Source organism: Homo sapiens, chromosome 7, assembly GCF_000001405.40.
Source record: "Homo sapiens chromosome 7, GRCh38.p14 Primary Assembly".
NCBI lineage: Eukaryota > Metazoa > Chordata > Mammalia > Primates > Hominidae > Homo > Homo sapiens.
In genome coordinates, this window is record NC_000007.14 from 110,719,246 (window position 1) to 110,742,767 (window position 23,522).

Sequence of the window (23,522 nt, forward strand, 5' to 3'; positions counted from 1 at the left end):
TCATGCACCATCTGACATAGGCCTTGTGGTACATGGATGAGTCAATGCAGAAGCAAACATGAAGGTAAAATTTAGAGTCCATAATTACAGGAAAAGGTATTTCAAGGTGAAAAGAAAAAAGGCCTTTCTCACTAATTTTAATTTTAGTTACTCATGTAATACACAACCAAGGGTACCATAGAAAATTGATCAGGATTTTTTTTTAACAGGTAATTAAAAAGCTGTAGAGTCAAATGAAGTTATTGTGCTCTGGAAAAAAACCCCATTATTAAAATACAAAAATGTACTTCTCAAAATATATCCTAATATTTTCCTGTTTAGCACTGTACAAATTGGAAGTTCTCTTAAGTTTGAAATGTTTATAAAATAACAGCTTTGTGTCTCAATAGAATTTTAGATGCTTTATTCTTCTTGAACATCTTTGAAGGAATCATCAAAGAAGCAAAATGTCATCTGCATTGTCAAATGACCTTGCTCTGTGATCTTCGCAGAAAATAAACAGCTTTAAATGAGAAGAAGCTGTCAATTCAGGCCCTGTTACAATAATGAGAGTTCATCACATGCTTTATCCTGTGGTTCTGAATTATAGCACTCTTTTATGTAGTTACATTGTAAATCACCACCCACTATTTATAACATTTCTGTACTTCTAGCCAAAATATCAAGTAAATCAAATTGGAGATGAAATATTTTTGGCTTAAACCGATCCAATATGTTCTTGCTCCTGACAGCTGTAAAACTCAAGAGTTATTTTACATCTTAGTGTTTGAAGTCTAAAAACCACAATTTGGGATGACCTGATGTATTCCAACTAAAATCCTGGAAATCTCATAATGTCGGGAAATTAGCTGAGAGGAGCATGGACAGATCATCGTTACTGGATGAAACTTACAGGAGAATCACTGTAAGGGGCCATTAACTACAAAGCCAAAAGCAAGAGATCACGAACAACAAAATTTAAGAGGTACCCAAATTGGAATTAAGGTGTGGCTGTTAAGAGGCTTATAACACGTAGAGGTATAATTCTATTTATTCTAGAAAGTCAGCTAAAGGATAAAGAGTCAGAGCCCCTGGTTGAGCCTGGTAATTATTCTAACAAAACATTTATGTAGAAAGTAATCGCTCTTCTTCAAGGCTGTTGTAACAATTAGCGAAAGAAATAAAAGAGGACTAAAGGGATGAGCTGAAGCAACAATATAAACAAAAATGAAACTGTTCACCACCCCAGGGGAATATTGTCATAACTTTGTGAGGTTTGTAAGTAAAAACGGCTATGTCAGTATTATTATCTTAAAATAATTTAATGAAGCCACAGGATGTCTCACGTACATACAATAAAACAATTTAAATTTTGGAAAATAACATGTAATCTAGTCTTTGCTCTACTACTAATTGCTGGGGAATATGATACTGGCTGGGGCCCTTCTGTTCTTATATTAGCTGTCTCTATTCATTGGAATATAACCCTTGGAGACTCAGTATTCTATGTCGAATATTTCTGAAATCGTTTAAGTGCACTTCTCTTAGCGGTTCTGCCTATGCTTTTAAAATACCAAGGAAACACTTTGGGATTCTTGCCAACCTGTTTTTCCAGTATAGGCAGAATTTAAAAGTGAATTTTCATTCACAGGTATCTAGGAACACATATTTCTCCTCCATACCTCTGGATTGATAGCAACTGCAGTACCAAGTGGTGCTTTGGGAAGGCTTAACCTTCCATCTTTCTTTCAGCTTCTCCCCACCCCCTCCCCAGTCAGCATCAAGATTAATATTCAATATATAAAAATAGTATATGCCTGTTATACAAAAATAAGCTTCAGGAAGAGTTATCTTGCTTCCCTTCCAAGGAAATTACCATCCTACACCCATCCTACATCTAGTATCATCACTGAGAGTAGCTTCGTACACTGACCAAATGCATGGACAGACACTGACCCATTCCAGGGACAAGCTGGAAGGGACAGATACCATCTTTATGTGTAAGACTCTGGGAAACTTTTAACCTTCCCAAGTCTCACATTGTTCAGGGTTGTTGCAAGGACTAAAATGAAATAATGCATTGCGAAGTGTTTGGCCAGTATATGGCAAATAGTAAGAGCTCAATTAAGGCCGGACATTTTTAATATTATTGTTATTGTTCTTATTACTGTTTATTGCAATTTTCCCTTGCAAATGGTTTATCCAATGAAAACATCTAAGCTAAGAACCATGGAGATGTATAGGAAATGAAAATATCATATAGGTTTTCTTGGATGACAAAAAGCAAAAGAACAGACTATGACAAACAAGCAAACAAACAAACAAACAAAAAACAAAAAAACACACAAACAAAAAAACACAATTCTAAAATATGCTGACTCTGATTTGATTATTTAGAGAACATTTCAGTCTCTTCAATTACCTCAGAACTATCAGTATAACCATTAATTTTCATTTTTCTAGCAAAGAATGGAAATCTTTGCTACTAAACAATGCTGAATGACAATGTTAATTCAACAAGTATTAACAGAATGGTGATCATATAGAAAACTCGTGTGCTTACCGGAAGGGACTGTATGTAGGGGGACTGGATAAAGATAAGTAAGAAAGTGTTTCAAATACTTTGCAATATAAGGAAGAGGGATAAGAACAAGAGAGAGAAGAAAGAGAGAGAAAGAGGAACAAAGTTGTAAACAATCATAAGATAAGACAGAATTGAAGTGCTGTAATAAAGGTGAAAATCTAAGGATTTGAAAGCACAGCTGTGGGAAGGATTGATTTTAACTGGCAAGACTGATGAAGGTTTAGTGAGAGGGTTCATTTGAGCTGGCATTTAAAAGATGAATAGGATGTCAATAGGTGTGAAAGAAGACATTTCCAGGATGAACTATAGGATCAAAATATTTTGGAATATTTGGAAAACATAAGGACAACAGTCAAAAAAGCAGAATAGGGTGGGGATGGAGCGATGAAAAACCTGAAGGGTGTTGAGTAATGGGATGTAATAATAACAATATTAATAGTAATAGCAGTGGGAACAGTACTGAGGGTTATATTACTAATAGTAGAATTCATTAAGTAGTTAATACATACTTAGTACTTTTATCTCATTCAATTCTCGAAAACCACCACTCTTTAAGAGATGTACCATCTCTGCCTTTTTTAGAGGCACAGGGAAGTTAAAAAAGTTGCCAGTGCACACCTAGGTAGTAAGAGACAAAGTCAGGATTCAAAACCCATCTAATGTCTAGAGCTAAAAGTCACTGTCACACTAGCTAATATTACTATGAATATTATTTCTTTCATATGAAAACTAAGAAATAATACAATCTATTTTCTCCACATAAAAGTTGGATCCAATGTATTTCCTTTTTAGCAAATAGATAGCATACATTGTACTCAATGTGAAAATATATGCCGATTTTTGTTTCTATGGTAAATGTTATTACGAGTTTAAATGACATCCTTGAAACATAACATATACCATTATTTCCAGTGAGGAAATCAAACCCTGGTTTAGAGGCCCTTCTTGTAATAACAAGGGATTATAACTCAGCCCCACCATTCCTATAATTACCAGAGAATACAGATGCTAGAAGGATGGGGTAGGGGTGTGAAGCAGAGAAATGTGTGTGTGAAGCAAGTTTGTGAAAATAAAAGCTCTTTATTCTTCATTTTCATGCTTCTCAGACCATGAGGATCTGGAGTTGGTTACAATTTGTGCAGGGAAAAACTCAAGCTGTGAAGCAGGCAACCACGGCAAACTTGTCTTCAGTTCTATGTACCAATCATCAAGTCTTCCTTAATAGGCAGATTCCCTTGTACCTAAGATATTGCAGTGCATTTCATAAAACACAGACATACCAACCATAAGATGAAAAACACTCTTGTGTAAGTAATAAAGAATAATGAAATGGCCATCAAGCTATAGTCTAAAACTTTGGTCACTGGACCATAAATGGGGATGCCAAATTGTATTATGATTGGGATTTTGAAGTCTTCTCCAATAGGGACAGAAGTTATGCATGTGTGTAAACATTCCCCTCCAAGCAAAGATGACGACTAGAAGTCACTGCCACACCAGCTAACAGAATAAACTACCACCAGTTTGATGCAAAATCCTGACCCAAGCTTTTGATCCTCCAGTTGAGATGCAGCTGCCACATGGCAATCTTGCTCACAAGCAAACAGAAACCTACATGCCTGCTAGTGTCTGGTTTTTAATTTTTTGAAATCAATATAATTTTCTCCTACTAAAGGGAATAAAAGGTAGCTAACTGATAGTGATCCATTCTTTAGGCTTGATTTTTTTAATCCTCTAAATAAATCTTCACTGATTAGCAATTGTAGTAGTTCTAAAAATTGATTGATGGAAAAAAGACACAGGCCATATGTGTGGTAAGATATCTTAATAAAATGCTGTTTGTAAAGAAAATAAAAACATCCACAGTTTCAAGAGATATTTACTGGAACCTTTATTTTATATCCTCTGGTTATGGCCATGGAGCCAAATGAATTAGAAAACAGAGGTAATGATATAGATATGCCATGTAACCTTCAACTACAGTCTCAAATGATACCCACACTTAAGAATAGATATTTTGCTCTGGTTGACTTACCTAGAGGGAAAGGGAAAAAAAAAAAAAAAAGAACAGATGTCTCGGAACAGTAATCAAAAGGAACTTAGAAGGGAAATATTGCTAAGAAAATATTTAGCAGAACCATTTGTAAATGCTTAATAGAAAGAGCTTATAAGTAATTTATATGAATTATAAAAGTAAAGGTTTATGCTAAATTTTGTTATGTTGCTTCAATATCATTTCTAGTTATTTTCTGTTCCTTAAGTAATTCTGCTTACCAACAACCTCTCAAAATATTGTAGAACATTTGGGACATTTGAACCAAGTTGTGGCTGTTGTCAAAATATCATTTCATCTTTTAAGCACGGATAATTAATATTTCAAGATTTATTTATAAGTATAAAACAGATTTCAAGTGATCACCATTTATCTGGTTGGCAATTAAGTTAGTGTGGCTTTCTACCTGAAATAAGATTATGCTTTTGAGTTAAGGACAATTATTAGCTAGATCCTGCCCTATATATGACTCTACCAAACTAAGCTTAGATGGGGCAAAAGTAATGTCAGAGCCAATGCCTTAACTTCCAAACTGGGTATCTTCAATGACATCTTTTGTGAAGCACTCCTATCAAGAAATTTTACTGTGTTATATTCAGGAACATTCTGGAACCAAAGTTTCTGTTTGCTACATTGTAGGAAAGCAACAATAGTATGCACTGCTGTAACTTCTTTTAAAGTAATGTTGCAGCTTCTCTGAGGAATGTTGCAGGTGGATTCTCCAAGGTTGCTAAGGATAAGAGAAAATGTCTTCAGCATTTTTTTTTTTTGCATCAGGAAAGAGATATTTTAAAAATCAGATTTAGTAAAGAAAATGGCATTCCAATAATTCCAATAGTTTTGTAAATTTGTTTTTATAAATATGGTTCTTAGCTCCTCAGCTCCTCAGTTTAAAACAAAAATGACTATTTAAGTTCACAAGAACTAAACTAAACCTCCCCTCATCAATAATCACCTGTCAACTCCTTTTCATCCAAGAATCACTGCTATTAAGGGTATCATACACCTGTGAGTGGCGTATCAAGAATTGGCTGTGAGATGTTAAAACCTGCACGACCTTGACTAAAGTAAAAACATTTCCAAGTACAATTCATTTAACTACGCCATTATACTGGATGACAGGGCTGAGACTGAGGGAGTATAGAATAGCAAAGCTTTAAGTCGCTTGGGATAGACAGATAAAATGAAGCGGTACCTGTCTAAACAACAGATTTGTTATAACTAGTCATGGTATCCTCAAAGTCTTTACTCTGGGAACTACACTGATTATGCCAGAGTTCACCTTATCACTGACACCACAAAGGCATTTCAGACACGGATCACACTTGCCCATCTTGATTTTACAGACAGGAAACCAGAAACGACAATTTGTATGAAAAGTGGAATCCAGGCTTTCATTTGGCATTAATATGATTTTAGTTACTAAAGAAATTCTTGTTCTAAATATTTTGCTTTTTACTTAAATAAATCAGTATTTTGGTAAATTTTGGCTTTTGTTACAAGCTGTACAAAATGAAATATGTTTTCTTGGCCTCCTATCCTTTGGAAATAGATGAAAGATTTTATTAATAATTAATTTAAAATTCTTTTAATTTCCATGGTATTTTCCTTCGACATCCAAATTTTTAAAAGAATATTCTTATTTTATAATATTGTAAAAATACTATATATTCATTTTTAGATTTGAAGAGTTAGATTCAACCATTCAACAAAAATAAGAGGGGAAAGAACTAACATTTGCTGATCATGTCTACTATGTTTAAGCACTGTGTTCAGCAAGAAATACAATAGCCTTGAAATAATCACTTGCTAATGGAGAAGGTAGATAGCTAACACTAACCTTGGTCCCCTGTGACAAGGGTGGCAGTAGACCATTCATTCATTCTGAGTCCATGGATTAGAGGCTGGTTTATTCTGATTGGGAGAATTGCAAAAGGCTTCACAAACTACGTAATATTTAAACTGAAACTTAAAGAATGAATACCAGTGGTATTAGTAATCACAAGTACTGCTACTGCTGCTACTACTTACATAGCACTTGCTATATACCAAGCATTGTTCTAAAAGTCTTATATATATTAACTCATCTAATTCTCACAACTCTGAGAGGCAAGTACTATTACTCCCATTCTACAGATAAGAAAATTGAGGTTCATAGAGATTAAATAACTTGCCCAAAGACACACAACTAATAAATTGTGGAGCTGGAATTTGATCCAAATGGTCTAACCCCGGACTCTGTGCATAACTCCTATATCAAACTGCCTCTCATATGGAAATTCACCAAGGAAGACCATTAACAGGCCAACCCAAATGGAGGGAATAATAGCATATCAAGAGTTATGAGATAAATGATTGTGCTATCTTCAAACACTGGGCTCCTTGAACATCTCCCTCACCATCTAAATAGGTATGTGAAATATATAACACTCCTTTCTTCCCACCATATGGCTCCAATTCAGTTGTTCTGATAGGAGAGAAAGAGAAGAAAATAAAGTGCACAAAAGCATGGAAATCGATTTTATCCAGAAGTAATAATTATATATAATGGAATATTAAAATGGAAGTTTTGGCTGTAGCCCCAAGACAATAATTAGCACATTCCCAAAGAGGTGTAAGGCCATATGTTGAATTTCCAAAGGAGGATTCTGAGAAACCAGTTACACAATTCTAAAATGCTATACCTACATCAAAGTCCTAGTATCTGAAATTAAAAAGGGGAACTTATTTGGAAAAAGTTATTGATAAGCTGTGATTTTTGCTCTGAAGAATAGGAGATCTCTTTCCTCACCTCAGCGTGGGGAAAGAAACTTCAACAGAACCTCTTTAGAATCCCTAATATGTGTCCCCTGCATTTTGATGTGCGTATAGACTGGTGTCTGACCCATGTATATGAGAAACCTAAAGTCCAAGTGACTGTCTAGCTCTACTTATGCTGGAGCAAAGAGAAATTTGCTGAGTGGGGAATCACCAATGCCCAAATTACTCTGGGGTTCATAATATGTGAGTGTTTCCCTACGGACCAGTTGTGGGCATTTTGTAAGAAGGAGTCAGAATGGGGTCACATCTGGTCATGTCAAAGAAGATCATCTGGAAAGGGTCAAGATCTCAACAAAAAACACAGGAGGGACCATTGGCTTTATTAGCAAGAATGGAAATGCTTCCTTAGGCATTAAATAATTGCAGACGGCAGAGTCAATAAAAGCATTCAGAAGTCAGTGAGCTTTAAAATCCTCCAAGTCCAGGCTGGGTGCAATGGCTCACGCCTATAATTCCAGAACTTTGAGAGGCTGAGGTGGGTGGATCACCTGAGGTCAGGAGTTTGAGACCTGCCTGACCAACATGGTGAAACCACGTCTCTACTAAAAATACAAAAAAATGTAGTTGGGCAGGGTGGTGCATGCCTGAAATCCCAGCTACTCAGGAGGCTGGGGCAGGAGAAGCACTTGAACCCAGGAGGTGGAAGTTGCAGTGAGCCGAGACTCTGCCACAGCACTCCAGCCTGGATGACAGAGTGAGACTCTGTCTCTAAATAAATAAATAAATAAATAAATAAATATTAAAAATCCTCCAAGTTCAGACAGCACCAATGCTAGACTAACATTATGGAACTTATCAAGGAAGAACTTTCCTATCACTGTTTCCTCCTCTCCCTCCCAGTGCTCCAAACCAGTAAGAGTCAGAAACTGATGTTAGCAAATTGAAGGTAGAGGAGAAGACAAGGTAGGGAAAGAGAGAGGAGACCAAGTATCCTTTCCCCACTGCAGGTTTCCTGCCTCAAGGAGAGAAGCTTTAACTTTAAAAAATATTAGAATATTAAATATAACATGAGCTAGATATTTAAATTATTAAATTGAATCCGTATTCTTACCTCCGAAGCTACTGTAGAGAGTATTATTATCTAAGAGAGTCTGGGAAAGTCATGGGACTTACCTGAACTTATATCAAGGCGTAAGAAAAGAATTGCTTCACCGAGTGGATTTAAACAGATATGAGGTAAATTTTTACAAATAATTACATCTAACAAGTTGTGCTAAGTCAACATAACAGCTACATACCTAACAAGCTCTGCATTGCATACCCACACACATGTAATTCTGCTCACTTCTGTTAACATTGTAAAAGGCAGCACAGGAAGCTTGAGTCTGGCTTTGGAGCCAGTTTACCTGAGCTTGCCTCAATTTCTTCTTCTGAAGAACAGGGGTACCAACAATATATACTTCATAATGTTGATGGGAAGATTAAATAATATGCAAAGGCATTTAATTTAATGCTTGGCCAATAGTAAGCATTCATACATAATATCTGCCATGCTTGTTGTTGTTGTTATCAATATTATTAATAATCTTAAAGGCGACTGGGAGTGGTGGTTCACGCCTGTAATCCCAGCAGGTTGGGAAGCCAAGGCAGGCAGATGGCTTGAGCTCAGGAGTTTGAAACCAGCCTGGGCAACATGGCAAAACCCTGTATCTATAAAATATATAAAAATTAGCTGGGCATAGTGGTGTGTGCCTGTAAACCCAGCTACTCGGGAGGCTGAGGCACGAGAATCGCTTGAACCTGGGAGGCAGAGGTTGCAGTGAGCCATTATCACATCACTGTACTCCAGCCTGGGCAACAGAGTGAGACTCCGTCTCAAAAAAATAAATAAAATAAAATAAAATAACAATATTAAAGGCCCCTTTTGACCCACCTTACCTGCAAAGAATAATCAGGGCAGAAGGCTCACCATTATCACATTTTATCTAATCACCTCCTAACTACTTTCAAACCAACAAACCCAAATATTGCCACTGATCCCCCTCCTATGCAAAGGACAGTAATAAGTCCAGTCTCAAAAAAGTATTGTTTGTACTGAATGCCTATCTCCATGCACTGTACTATGGGTTCTGTGCATATTACCTCATTTGTTTCTCACCATATTCGTGAGGTGGCTACAATCATTACCCCCATTAAATGATGAAAAACTAGGACTTAAGGTCCTTGTCCATGGTAATACAAATAGTATATGGTAGAAGTGGGATAAACAGTTGTATTAGTCTGTTTTGTTTTGTTTTGTTTTGTTTTCACCCAGGCTGGACTGCAATGGCGCGATCTCAGCTCACAGCAACCTCCGTCTCCCAGGTTCAAGAGATTCTCCAGCCTCAGCCCCCTGAGTGATTACAGGCACATGCCACTATGCCTGGCTAATTTTTGCATTTTTAGTATAGATGGGGTTTCACCATGTTGGTCAGGCTTGTCTCGAACTCCTGACCTCGTGATCTGCCCGCCTCAGCCTCCCAAAGTGCTGGGATTACATGCATGAGCCACTGTGCCCAGCCGTATTAGTCTGTTTTTACACTGCCATAAAGATACTACTGGAGACTGGGTAATTTATAAAATAAAAGAAGTCTAATTGACTCACAGTTCTGCATGGCTGGGGAGGCCTCAAGAAACTTATAATCCTGGTGGAAGGTGAAGGAGAATCAAAGCATATCTTAGATGGTGGCAGGAGACAGACAGCGCATGGAGAAACTGCCAAACACTTTTTAAAACCATCAGATCTCAGGAGAACTCACTCACTATCACGAGAATAGCATGGGGGAAACTGCCCCCATAATTCAGTCACCTCCCACTGGGTCCCTCCCTCAACACATGGAGATTGGAATTGGAGATGAGATTTGGGTGGGACACAGAACCAAACCATACTAACAGTCATTGTCAACATTTCTGCTAATTTATGATAATCAAAGTTATTTTCATTTTGGGGTGAAGTCTTTAATGTACTTTCTGTCATAGGGACTTCACTAAAGGTCACTAGTAACTCAAAGCAATGTATCTGTTCTCACTTATAACTGGGAGCTGAATGATGAAAACACATGGACACATGGGTGGGGGGAACAACCCACACTGGGGCCTATCAGTGGTTCCGGGGGAGGGAGAGCATCAGGAAGAACAGCTAATGGGTGCTGGGCTTAATACCTGGGTGATGGGTTGATCTGTGCAACAAACCACCATGGCACACATCTACCTATGTAACAAACCTGCACATCCTGCACATGTACTCCAGAACTTAAAATAAAAGTTGATTTTTTTTTTTTTTTAAAAAGCAACGCATCTTTTATGAAGAAGCAATTCTTCTTTAGTTTTGGGAATCTATTGAACATTATGAGGTAAAATCAAAGAGGTTGGCTTTTAATTTCAAAAAGATTAAACATGAAAACATGAAAGATTAAACATGAAAGATTTTCATGTTAAGAGTATTGTGATGGCTAATATCCAGTGTCAACTTGATTGGATTGAAGGATGCAAATTATTGTTCCTGGGTGCGTCTATGAGGGTGCTGCCAAAGGAAATTAACATTTGAGTCAGTGGACTGGGAGAAGAAGACCCACCCTCAATCTGGGTGGGCACCAGCTAATCAGCTGCCAACGTGGCTAGAATAAAGCAGGCAGAAGACAATGGAAAGAGCAGACTCGCTGAGTCTCCCGGCCTTCATCTTCCTCCCGTGGTGGATGTTTCCTGCCCTCGAACATCAGACTCCACATTCTTCAGCTTTTGGACCCTTGGACTTACACCAGTGGTTTGCCAGGGACTCTCAGGCTTTCAGCCACAGACTGAAGGCTGCACTGTCAGCTTCCCGACTTTTGAGGTTTTGGGAGTTGGACTGGCTTTCTTTCCTTTTCTTTTTCTTTTTTTTTTTTTTGAGACGGAGTCTCGCTCTGTTGCCCAGGCTGGAGTGCATGCCATCTCGGCTCACTGCAAGCTCCGCCTCCCGGGTTCAGGCCATTCTCCTGCTTCAGCCTCCCCAGCAGCTGGGATTACAGGCGCCAGCCACCACGCCCAGCTAATTTTTTTGTATTTTCAGTAGAGACGGGGTTTCACCGTTTTAGCCAGGATGTTCTTGATCTCCTGACCTCGTGATCCACCCGCCTCAGCCTCCCAAAGTGCTGGGATTACAGGCGTGAGCCGCCGCGCCCGGCCGGGACTGGCTTTCTTACTCCTCAGTTTGCAGACACCCTCTTATGGGACTTCACCTTGTGATCGTGTGAGTCAATACTCCTTAATAAACTCCCCTTTAAATTTACATGTATCCTATTAGTTCTGTCCCTCCAGAGAACCCTGACTAATATGAGTATATACAAAACTAAATCATAATTAAACACATGTTGCAGCTGATGGGCGTGACTAGAAAGAGGTATCAATTTAAGTAAATTTAAAACACAATATCCAATCAGCTGAACTCTTTGAATGTCATATTTTACTTTATATCTTCATTTAACTTCTCCTAGACTCAGGTCCCTAGTATCTAAAATAAATATTTGCCATGAGAATTAAGGGAAATTACATATACATATGTAAAAACTACTTTTTTAATCTAGAGAAACCTATAAAATGTTAACACTTATTATGTTTATAAGAAATCTTACTGTATTTTAGTATATAGAATATCATAAAAAATATAAATATCTAGCTGCCCAAGTGTGTATAGTGCTTGATCTATAGAAGGTGCTCAATAAATGTTAAATGAATGAATACAGATGCTCTGAGTACCTTGCTAACAGCAAGAATGTATTTAGTATTTATTATTGTTATTATTCCCCCCATCATAATAATAGTGGAGGATAGTGCCCTTATCTGTTTGTCATTGCAATAATGAACTCTACCAGCAGTCTCTGTAATTTGGGGGTGACACAGGAGAGGGAGCTCACAAAGACACACTATACACGCAATGGTCCTGAATCCTGAATTCAAACTGGTGTCTCTGTTTTTGTAGCTTTTCTTCCCCCAAATATGTAGGCAAACATACTAATACAACCATGAAAAAATGCCATTAAATATAATACCTTGCAATAATTAGGTGAAGAATTCTTGACATGCTCAAATTTTATAGTAATTATTTATATCATAAGTATGAGATTATAAAGCCTGTTTTCTCCGTTGACTTCAGGATGAAGTCGATAAAAGGGACTTAACTAATTATTATAATCTATTAATCATTCCATACTTACTGAGCACCTACTAGGTGCCAGCTACTGAACTAGGTGCTGAACAAAAAAAGTAGTCTCTTTGTAGAGTTCTTAGACTAGTTAGAGACACAAACAGCTCACCAGCAATTAGAAAACAGCATGTCTGCTACAAATGGGGAATTAATGAAGACTATAAGAGCATACAAGAGGGATTTTTCAGAAGAGTTCTCCAGGCATAGTGATGTCAAAGCTGAGACTGGGTGGGGCGGGGTTGGAGAAACTGTACTGGGAGAACATGTATGACGGTGAAGTTCAAGGGGCTGGAGAGCATGAAGAATTCAGTATCCTGGGGAAGGGGGTAGTGGGTAGAGAGGGAGCTGAAGAGGCAACAAGGGACAATTCATAAAAGGACTTATGAGCTAATACTCCTCAGGTAATAACACTGAATGAAAATATTTCCCTATATGTCAAGCATATTCATTTTATTTCTTCCATTGATTATTAGTAATAGCTAGCTGCTTTCAAAGAAGCTTTCAGAATTTAATCAAAACAGGAAGAATACAAAGACCTAAAACAAGTCTCTATAATCTTTTTCTAATTACAAACAAAGAGGTCTTTGGAACTGCCTCTCCCTAATTTGGCATGTGAATTATGATTTGAGAGCTTGAAATAGATATGGTACTGAATTCATTTGCTCTGAGGAAGAATAGACACAGATAGAAAGAAGTCTTTTCCTCTAGGCTTATACCAGTTTGCTTTTATAAGGATTTTGCACCTTGTCCACAAACATTTGGAACTCATGGGAAAATTAATACTCCCTAAGCAAAATAACTGGTTTTTTTAGGAAAATGTCTTCAATTTTTCTGATAGAAAGTTATTTCCTAGGTGCAGAACAAGCTACTACATATGCTTCGTAAATGATCTTGATATGTGGTAAAAGTTGATGAATGGAAAAGATGAAGGCTCAAGCACAATGAATTTCTTTTTTTTTTTTTTTGAGATAGGGTCTCTGTCACTCAGGCTGGGGTGTAGTGGCATGTTCACAGTTCACCGCAGCCTCAAACTTCAGGGCTCAAGAGATCCTCCTCCCTCAGCTTCCCAAACAGCTAGGACTATAGGCACCTACCACCACATCTGGCTAATTTTTAAAAATATTCTGTAGAGAGGGGGTCTCACTATGATTCCCAGGCTGATCTCAAACTCCTGGCCTCAAGTGATATTTAGCCTTTGAACGTGCTAAGATTACAGGTGTGAGCCACTGCACCTGGCCTTCAATTGCTTTGATACCTTATCAGTTAAGATTGGATTAGTTGCAAAAAATAGAGAATCCTAAAACAGTGATTTAAACAAGATACAAGTCATAGTTATGCTGTCTGGTGCTAGTACGACAGCTCTACAGGGTTGTCAGGGACTGGTCTCCTTCTATCTTAACTTTCTACTATGATGGTTATTATTCCCAAGCTAGCTATGTAAGTGTCAGTTATCACATGTAGAATTTATGCAGTAAGATGGATGAAGAATTGAGGAAAGCATGCCCTCTCCCTGTCAAGGGAACCTCTGCGAGTCTGTACATAGTTCTGCTTACATTTTATTAGCCAAAATTTAGTTGCAACACTCTACTTCACTGACAAGAGAGCCAAGGAGTGTTTTTTTTTTTTTTAGATAGGTTGCAAAGAGCCCAGCTAAAAATGTGTGTATTTCTAAGAAAAGAGGAAGGAAGAGAAAGAGAGAAGGACAGATTTTAGAAGCCAATTCCCAATCTCTGCCATAAACATATATTCATATAAACTTAAAAATGTGAATGTGTGCTGTGGTTTGTATGTTTGTGTACCTCCAAATTTCATGTTGAAACTTAATCTCCAATGCAACAGTATTAAGAGGTAAGGCCTTTAGTATGTGATTAAATTGTAAGGGCTCTATACATTAAGGGGATTAGTGTACTTAGAAATGGGCCAAACAAGGCTGTTTGGCCCTTCTTCCCCCTCTGGCCCTTCCTCCATTATATGAGGGCAATGCATTCATCCATTCCATCATGTGAGGATACAGCATCCAGGTACCATCTATGAAGCAGAGGGCAAGCTTTCATCAGACACTGACTCTGCCAGCACCCTGACCTTTAACTTCCCAGCCTCCTGAACAGTGAGAATTAAATTTCTACTATGTAGAAATTACCCAATCTAAAGTATTTTGTTACAGTAGCATGAATAGACTGAGACAAAAATTTGCACCAGAAATGGGGTGCTGCTGCAGCAAATACCTAAAAATGTGGAAGCAGCTTTGGAACTGGGTAATGAGTAGAAGCTGGAAGAATTTTAAAGTGCATTGCCATGAACAGAGGGGCATTGAGGGCAATACTGGTGAGAGCTCAAAGAAGAAGAGAGCTGTAAACAGAGTGTTGATCTTCTTAGAGATTATCTAAGTGCTTTTTAACAGAATGCTGGTAGAAATAGACAGTAAAGGCCATCCTGATGACATCTTAGACAGAAATGAGAAACAACTTATTGGAAACTGGAGAAACAGCCATTCTTGTGATAGCATGCAAAGACCTTGGCTGAACTGTTTGTCTCCTAGTGTTTCATTCAAGTAAGAACTTAACAGCAATGAAATAGGGTATTTGGCAGAAGAAATCTCTAATCAAAGTTTTGAGAATGTGGCATGGCTTCTTTTGACTGCTTATAGTAAAATGCAGGAAGGGATAATAAATTAAAGATGCAATTTATAATCTAAAGGGAAGCAGAACTTAAAGGTTTGGAAAATTCTCAGAAGAAAAAAGCATGTTCAGAAGAAAACACCAAGAGTGTGGCCAAATGACCATTTAATTAGAAAATCAGGATGGATAAAAGTGAAAGAGGAGAAAGGAAGAAACCAGTCAGGCAGACAGTTAGGGTGGGTCCTCAGTTAATTTGTTTCAAACAAACAAACAAACAAACAAACAAAAAACCAGCCTAAAAAATCAAGTTGCTGGCACAAATAAGGGAACTTGCCCAGGTGGCTTGCCTAAGACATGCCCTCAGCTGCATAGGTAAGAAAGGCTATAGAGAAGACTGGGCTGTTTGCAACTATATAAACAAAAATACTCCTTGGCTCTCTTGTCAGTTAAGTAGAGTGTTGTGACTAAATTTTGGCTAATAATATGTAAGCAGAACTATGTACAGACTTGCAGAGGTTCCCTTGACAGGGAGAGGGCATGTTTTCCTCAACTCTTCATCCGTCTTACTGCATAAATTCCACATGTGATAACTGACACTTACATAGCCAGCTCGGGAATAATAACCATCATGCCTGCAATGGAAATAACCGACATGCCTGCAACAGAAAATTCCATCTCCTGACACGTGCGCAGTAAGGGGAACAAAGCAAAATGGAGTAACTCAAGCTGAGCCTGCATGTGCACTAGGAATATGCGGTGGAACTACCAAAAATGCACACCTTATGCAAAAGAGATGCCCAGCCCCTTATCAGTTTCTTATAAAAACCTCTGTATCCAAACTGTGAATCAGCAACCATTTTTCCAGGACCCCTCTCTGTAGCAGAGAGCTATTCTCTTTCTTTCACCAATTAAACTTCCACTCTTAACCTCATTCTTTGTGTGTCCACATCCTTGATCTCTGTGGCCCTGAAACAACCAACTTCAGGTGTTACCCCAGACAATGAGGCCACTTCAAAAGGAAGCCAGATGCTATTCATCAAGACAATGAATGAGGCTGGGTGTGGTGGCTTGTGCCTTTAATCCCAGCAATTTGTGAGGCTGAGGTGGGTGGATTGTTTGAGCTGAGGAGTTCAAGGACAGCCTGGGCAACATGGCAAAACTCTGTGTCTACAAATATATATATATTAGACAAATATATATATATATATATAGTAGACAAATACACACACACACACACACACACACACACACACACACACACGAAAATTAGGCAGACATGGTAACGTGTGCCTGTAGTCCCAGCTTGAGCCTGGCAGATGAAGGTTGCAATGAGCCAAGATTGTACCACTGCACTCCAGCCTGGGTGACAGAGTCTCACTCTGCCTCAAAAAAAAAAAAAAAAAAAAAAAAGGAATGAAATAATGACCCCAAAAGCATTTCAGAGATTGTTGGGGCTGCCACTCTCATCATAGGCCCAAACTGCCAGGGCCTTGAGGGCAGAAAAGTTTCAAAAAACAGCCCAGGGCTCCTGTGTGAAAAATTTCAAAAAGCGCTCAGGGGTTCCTTCCCAGCACCACCTCAAGTCTCTGCTCCCAAAATTCAGGTGCGGTGCTCCTCAGCTGCACCAGCTGTGGCTCAAGTAGGCCCAGGTGCAGCTTGGGCCACCCTGCTGGAACATAGTGACAACTCTGCAGGCATGCAGAGTACAAGAGCTATGGGGGCTTGGCTACCTCCACCTAGATTTCAGAGGATAACCCCAAAAGCCTCAGGGTCCAGGCACAGGCAGGGCTATCACAGAAAGCCCCTAGTAAGGTAACACCCAGCAGATCCATGGGGTCAGGCTCAGGGTCACTGCAGAGTCCCCATTGGGGCAATGCTCAGGGGAGCTATAGGGCTGGGGATGCCGAAAAGAACTTCCACTAGGGCAAATATCCAGTAAAGCTGTGTGGGCAGGACTACTTCCAAGACCCTGGACCAGCAGAGCCACCAGCATGTAATTTCAGCCCAGGAGAGCTGCAGGAGTACCACTGCAATGCCATGAAAGCTGCTGTGTGGGCTGTGCCCAGCAAAGCTAGGGGGCAGGACTGTTCTGAGCTTTGCGGACCCAACTTCCACCCCAGTATATCCAGAAAGCAGACATAGAGTCAAAGATCATTCTCAAGCCTCAAGATTTAATGTTCTTTGCCTTGGTGAGATTTGTACTTACTTGCCACCTGTTTCCATTTCTTCCTTCCTATTTCTCCCTTTTGAAATGGGAACATCTATTCTATGCCTGTCCTACCGTTGCATTTTGGAAGCAAAAACTTGTTTGATTTCACAGATTCACAGGTGGAAAGCAATTTGTCTCAGGATAAATCATACCTTGAGTCTCATCCATATCTGATTTAAATGATATTTAGATGAGACTCTGGACTTCAAACTTCTGAGTTGGTGCTGAAATAAGTCAAAAATTTGGGGGATTTTGGAATGGAATGAATGTATTCGTATGTGAGAAGGTCATGAATTTTGGGGGATCAGGGGCGGAATGCTACGGTTTGAATGTTTGTGGCAGTCCAAAATTCATATTGAGAAATTGAGGGTTTAAGATGGCAGATAGGAGGCAGGACTAGCTTGCAGCTGCCACTTGGATGGACAGAACAGCCTGTAGAGACTCACATCGTGAACTTTTGCTCCAGGAACTACAGCAGGAACACACCAGAAAGCCAAGATAATCCACAGACCCTTTGAAGGAACTGGATCACCATGGCAGGCTCCCTGAGATGCCAAAAAAACTGTGAGTCTGCTTAATTTCTCAATGGGGAGGTTTGTGGTCTGGGGCAAGTTTTCAGCCCTGGTCACTGGCTGCCTGGAAACAGACTCAGTGCCATTGGTGGGGCACAGTGGGAATGAGACCAGCCTTTAGGACTATGGGCTTTATGGGAGCAGGGTGAGGCCTGTGACTGCTGGCTTTCCTCCACTTCCCTGGCAACTCAGCAGAGGAAACCTTAATCCTTCTGGGAATATAACTGCATTGGACTGGGAACCATACCCCCATCTGCCACAGCAGTCGCAGCAAGCCCACCCCAAGAAGAGGTTGAGCTCAGACATGCCTGTCTCTGCTCCCACCTGGTGGTCTTTCTCTACCTGCCCTGGTAGCTGAAGAAAAAGGTCATAATCCCTTGGGAACTCTATGGCCCTGCCCACCACTTGAGAAACCTGAATACTTAACCAGTTGTCCCTAGAGCAAGTTTGCATCCTCCATATAGGACCACAGCTGATGTGCTCTTCAGCTCCTGGCTGAAGGCCAACCAACAAAAACCAGCGCACTAAACAAAAACACAGCCAAGGACCCTCACAGAGTCCACTCCATTCCCCTGCTAACTCCCCGAGAGCAGGTGCTGGTATCCACAGCTGCAAGACCTGAAGACAGATTACATCACAGGAGTCTTTGTAGACCCTCGCTAGTACCAGCCTGGAACCTGGTAGCTCTGCTGCGTGGCTAGACCCAGAAGAGCAGAAATAGTCACTACAGTTCAGCTTTCAGGAATCCCCATTCATAGGGGAAGGGGGAGAACACCCCATCAATGAAGCACCCTGTGGGACAAAAAATCTGCACAGCAGCCCCTGAGTCCCAGATCTTCCCTCTGATGTAGTCTACCCAAATGAGAAGAAAGCAGAAAAACAATTCTGCTAATATGATAAAACAAGGTTCTTTAACATGCCCAAAAGATCACACCAGCTCACCAGCAATGGATACAAACCAAGACAAAAATCTCCGAATTGTTAGAAAAAGAATTCAAAAGGTTGATTATTAAGCTAATCAAGGAGGCACCAGAGAAAGTTGAAGTCCAAATTAAAGAAATCAAACACATTATACAGGATATGAAAGTAAAATTCTTCAGTGAAATAGATAGCATAAATAAAAAACAATCACAACTTCTGAAAATCAAGGGCACACTTAGAGAAATGCAAAATGCACTGGAAAGTCTCAGCAATAGTCTCATCCATCAAACAAGCAGAAAGAAAGAACTTGAGAACTCAAAAACAAGACTTTCGAATTTACCCAATATGTCAAATACGAAGAAAAAAGAATTTTAAAAAATGAACAAAGCATCCAAGAAGTTCGGGACTATGTTAAACGTCCAAACCTAAGAATAATTGGTGTTTCCACAGAAGAAGAGAAGTCTAAAAGTTTGGAAAACACATTTGAGGAAATAGTCGAAGAAAACTTCCCCAGCCTTGCTAGAGATCTAGACATCCAAATACAAGAAGCTCAAAGAACACCTGGGAAATTCATCACAAAAAGATCCTTGCCTAGGCACATAGTCATCAGGTTATCTAAAGACAAAGGAAAGAATCTGAAGATCTGTGAGCCAAAAGCATCAGGTTCTGTAATGGAAAACCTATCAGATTAACAGCAGATTTCTCAGCAGAAACTCTACAAACTAGAAGGGATTGAGGTCCTATTTTAAGCCTCGTTAAACAAAACAATTATCGCCAAGAATTTTGTATCTAGTGAAACTAAGCTTCATAAATGAAGGAAAGATAGTCTTTTCCAGACAAATAAATGCTGAGAGAATTCGCCACTACCAAGCCAGCACTACAAGAACTGCTAAAAGGAGCTCTAAATCTTGAAACAAATCCTTGAAATACACCAAAATTGAAACTTCTTAAAGCATAAATCTCACAGGATCTATAGAACAATAAGACAATGAAAAATATCAAGGTGTTCAGGCAACAAATAGCACAATGAGTAGAATAGTACCTCACATCTCAATACTAACATTTAATGTAAATGGCCTAAATGTTCTACTTAAAAGATACAGAATGGCAGAATGTATAAGAATTCACCAACCAAGTTTCTGCTGTCTTCAGGAGACTTACCTAACACACAAGGATTCACATAAACTTAAGGTAAAGGGGCGGAAAAAGACATTCCATGCAAATGGACACCCAAAGCAAGCAGGAGTAGCTATTCTTATATCAAACAAAACAAATTTTAAAGCAACAGCAGTTAAAAAAGACAAAGGACATTACATAATGATAAAAGAACTAGTCCCATAGGAAAATATCACAGTTCTAAATATATATGCACCTAATACTGGAGCTCCCAAATTTATAAAACAATTACTACTAGACCTAGAAATGAGATAGATGGCAACACAGTAATTGTGGGGGTCTTTAATACTCCACTGACAGCACTAGACAGGTCATCAAGACAGAAAGTCAACAGAGAAACAGTGGACTTAAACTATTCCCTACGAAAAATGAACTTAACAGATATTTACAGAACATTCTACCCAACAACTGCAGAATATACATTCTATTCATCAGCAAATGAAACATTCTCCAGGATAGACCATATCACAGGCCACAGAACAAGTCTCATTAAATTTAAGAAAATCAAAATTATATCAAGTACTCTCTGAGACCACAGTGGAATAACATTGGAAATCCACTCCAAAAGGAACCCTCAAAATCATGCAAACACAAAGAAATTAAATAACCTGCTCCAGAATGATTGTTGGGTTAACAATGAAATCAAGATGGAAATTTAAAAGTTCTTTGAACTGAACGATAATAGTGACACAACCTATCAAAACCTCTGGGATACAGCAAAAGCAATGCTAAGAGGAAAGTTCATAGCATTAAATCCCTACATCAAAAAGTCTGACAGAGCACAAATAGACAATCTAAGGTCACACCTCACAAAACTGTAGAAACAAAAACAATCCAAACCCAAACCCATCAGAAGAAGAAACATAACAAAGATCTGAGCAGAACTAAATGAAATTGAAACAAACAAAAAACAAACAAAACCCACAAAAGATAAATGAAACAAAAAGCTGGTTCTTTGAAATGATAAATAAAATTGATAGACCATTAGCGAGATTAACCAAGAAGACAGAGATCCAAATAAGCCCAATTAGAAACAAAATCAGAGATATTACAACTGATGCTACAGAAATACAAAAGATTATTCAAGGCTACTGTGAACACGTTTATGTGCATAAACTAGAAAACCTAGAGGAGACAGATAAATTCCTGGAAATATACAACCCTCCTAGATTAAACCAGGAAAGCATAAAATCTGAACAGACCAATAATAAGCAGTGAGATTGAAATGGTAATTAAAAAAACTGCCAACAAAAAAAGTCTGGGACCAGATGGATTCACAGCTGAATTCTATCAGACATTCAAAGAAGTCTTGGTGCCAATCCTATTGACACTAATTATCAGGGAAATGCAAATCAAAACCACAGTGCAACACCACCTCACTCCTGCAAGAATGGCCATAATTTTAAAAATAAAAAAAAATAGAGTTGGCATGGATGCTGTGAAAAGGGAACACTTTTACACTGTTGGTGGGAATGTAAACTAGTACAAACACTATAGAAAATAGTGTGGTGATTCCTTAAAGAACTGCACATTCTGTACATGTAACCCAGAACTTACAGTATAATAATAAAAAAGTTACTGTATATTAAAAAAAAAAAAAGAACTAAAAGTAGATCTACTCTTTGATCCAGCAATCCCACTACCAGGTATCTACCCAGAGGAAAAGAAGTCATTATATGAAAAAGATACTTGCACATGCATGTTTATAGCAGCACAATTTGCAGTTGCAAAAATATGGAACCAGTCCAGATGACCATCAATCAACGAGTGGATAAAGAAAATGTTTATATATACCATGGAATACTACTCAGCCTTAATAAGGATTGAAATAATGGCATTTGCAGCAACCTGGATAAACTTTGAAACTATTATTCTAAGTAATTCAGGAATGGAAAACCAAACATTGTATGTTCTCACTCATATATGGACACGACCTGTTCCCCCAAAACCCATTGAAATAAAAAATAATAAAATAAAATACAAATAAATTGATGAATAAAAACAACCAAAATAAAATTCATACTGAAGCTTAATTTCCAGTGTGATTGTAGCAAGAAGTGGGCCTTTAGGAGGTAATTATGCCATGAGGGCAGAGCCCTCATTAATATGATTAGTGCCCTTATAGAAGATCCAAGGGAATTTATTTGTCCCTTTTTGCCCTTTTTCCACGTGAGGACACACAGCAAGAAGGCACCATCTTTGGAGCAGAAAGCAAGCCCTCATCAGACACTGAATCTGTTGGTGCCATGATCTTGGACTTGCCAGACTTAGAATTGTAAGCAATAAATGTCTATTGTTTATGAATTACCTAGTATAAGGTATTTTGTTGCAGCAGCCAGAATGAATTAAGACAGTATGTAACCTCAATATATTTATTTATAAATTATAGACATACTCCATTATGCTATTATTTTATAGAAATTACAAAATATGAACAAATAATTTTGTTAAAGAATAAAATAAAAATTAAACATAAATAAAATGTTTATATTGTCTTTCCAATCTCAGGGGATTGTAATGTATAAATCAATTTGGAGACTGCTGCTCTAGGAGGCAATAAGTATAAACATTTAGATTCTACTTCTTCAAATTGGCAAGAAAATAATCATAGAATCTAGAAAGTCTTAGGGGTGTGAGGTATTCCCTAGTCTATTGAGGGAAAGTCTATGTCCACTTAGGTTACTACTCAGAAAGCTGGACTAATATTGAGTAATGGCAAGGCTAGACGCTTAACGTAGCCTCAAGAATTACAACACTAGCATGTGAGAACAACAGTATTATAAAATAAAAACATGAAAAACAGAGTGACAATATAAATTAGTAAGTATTAGTTACATGAAGACTTTGAGGTTATTTTTGTATATTTGCTTCAAATGGTAACTTTTTTCTAAAAATGTGTTTATAGCAACATTTCTGAAAAGCACAATGGCAATAACATAACCAAAAGGCTTAAAAATGTTTATATATCGTAAGTAAACTTCTTAGACTTCTAAGAGCCCAGGGAAAGAAACTATGATATCATGAAAATTTTATAAATAAAGATATCCCAATGATATTCATTATTAGAAACAGGCAAAAATGGTTAAACAAATTATAATACAGCCATGCAATGAAACACTATGCGACTATTAAAAATTATACTTTCAACCGCTGGGCATGGTGGCTCACACTTGTAATTCCAGCACTTTGGGAAACCAAGGCAAGCGGATCACAAGGTCTGGAGATTGAGACCATTCTGGCTAACACGCTGAAACCCCATCTCTACTAAAAATACAAAAAATTGGCTGGGCAGAGTGGTGGGCACCTGTAATCCCAGCTACTCAGGAGGCTGAGGCAGAGGAATCACTTGAACTGGGAGGCAGAGGTTGCAGTGCGCCAGAGATCACACCACTGCACTCCAGCCTGGGCAACAAGAGCTAAACTCCGTCT

The 23,522-nt window shown here is 38.5% G+C and overlaps 1 protein-coding gene and 1 long non-coding RNA gene across 13 annotated transcripts in view; both read right to left on the minus strand.

Annotated features, from left to right (window-relative positions):
* IMMP2L (inner mitochondrial membrane peptidase subunit 2) overlaps nucleotides 1-23,522 on the minus strand; it is an 899,849-nt gene that overhangs the window by 56,602 nt on the left and 819,725 nt on the right. The window lies entirely within an intron of this gene.
* Nucleotides 4,430-7,928, minus strand: LOC124901724 (uncharacterized). Its single transcript, XR_007060476.1, has 2 exons — nucleotides 6,457-7,928; nucleotides 4,430-5,346 (listed from the first exon to the last, which is right to left on the minus strand). It is a non-coding gene; the product is annotated as an uncharacterized LOC124901724 (long non-coding RNA).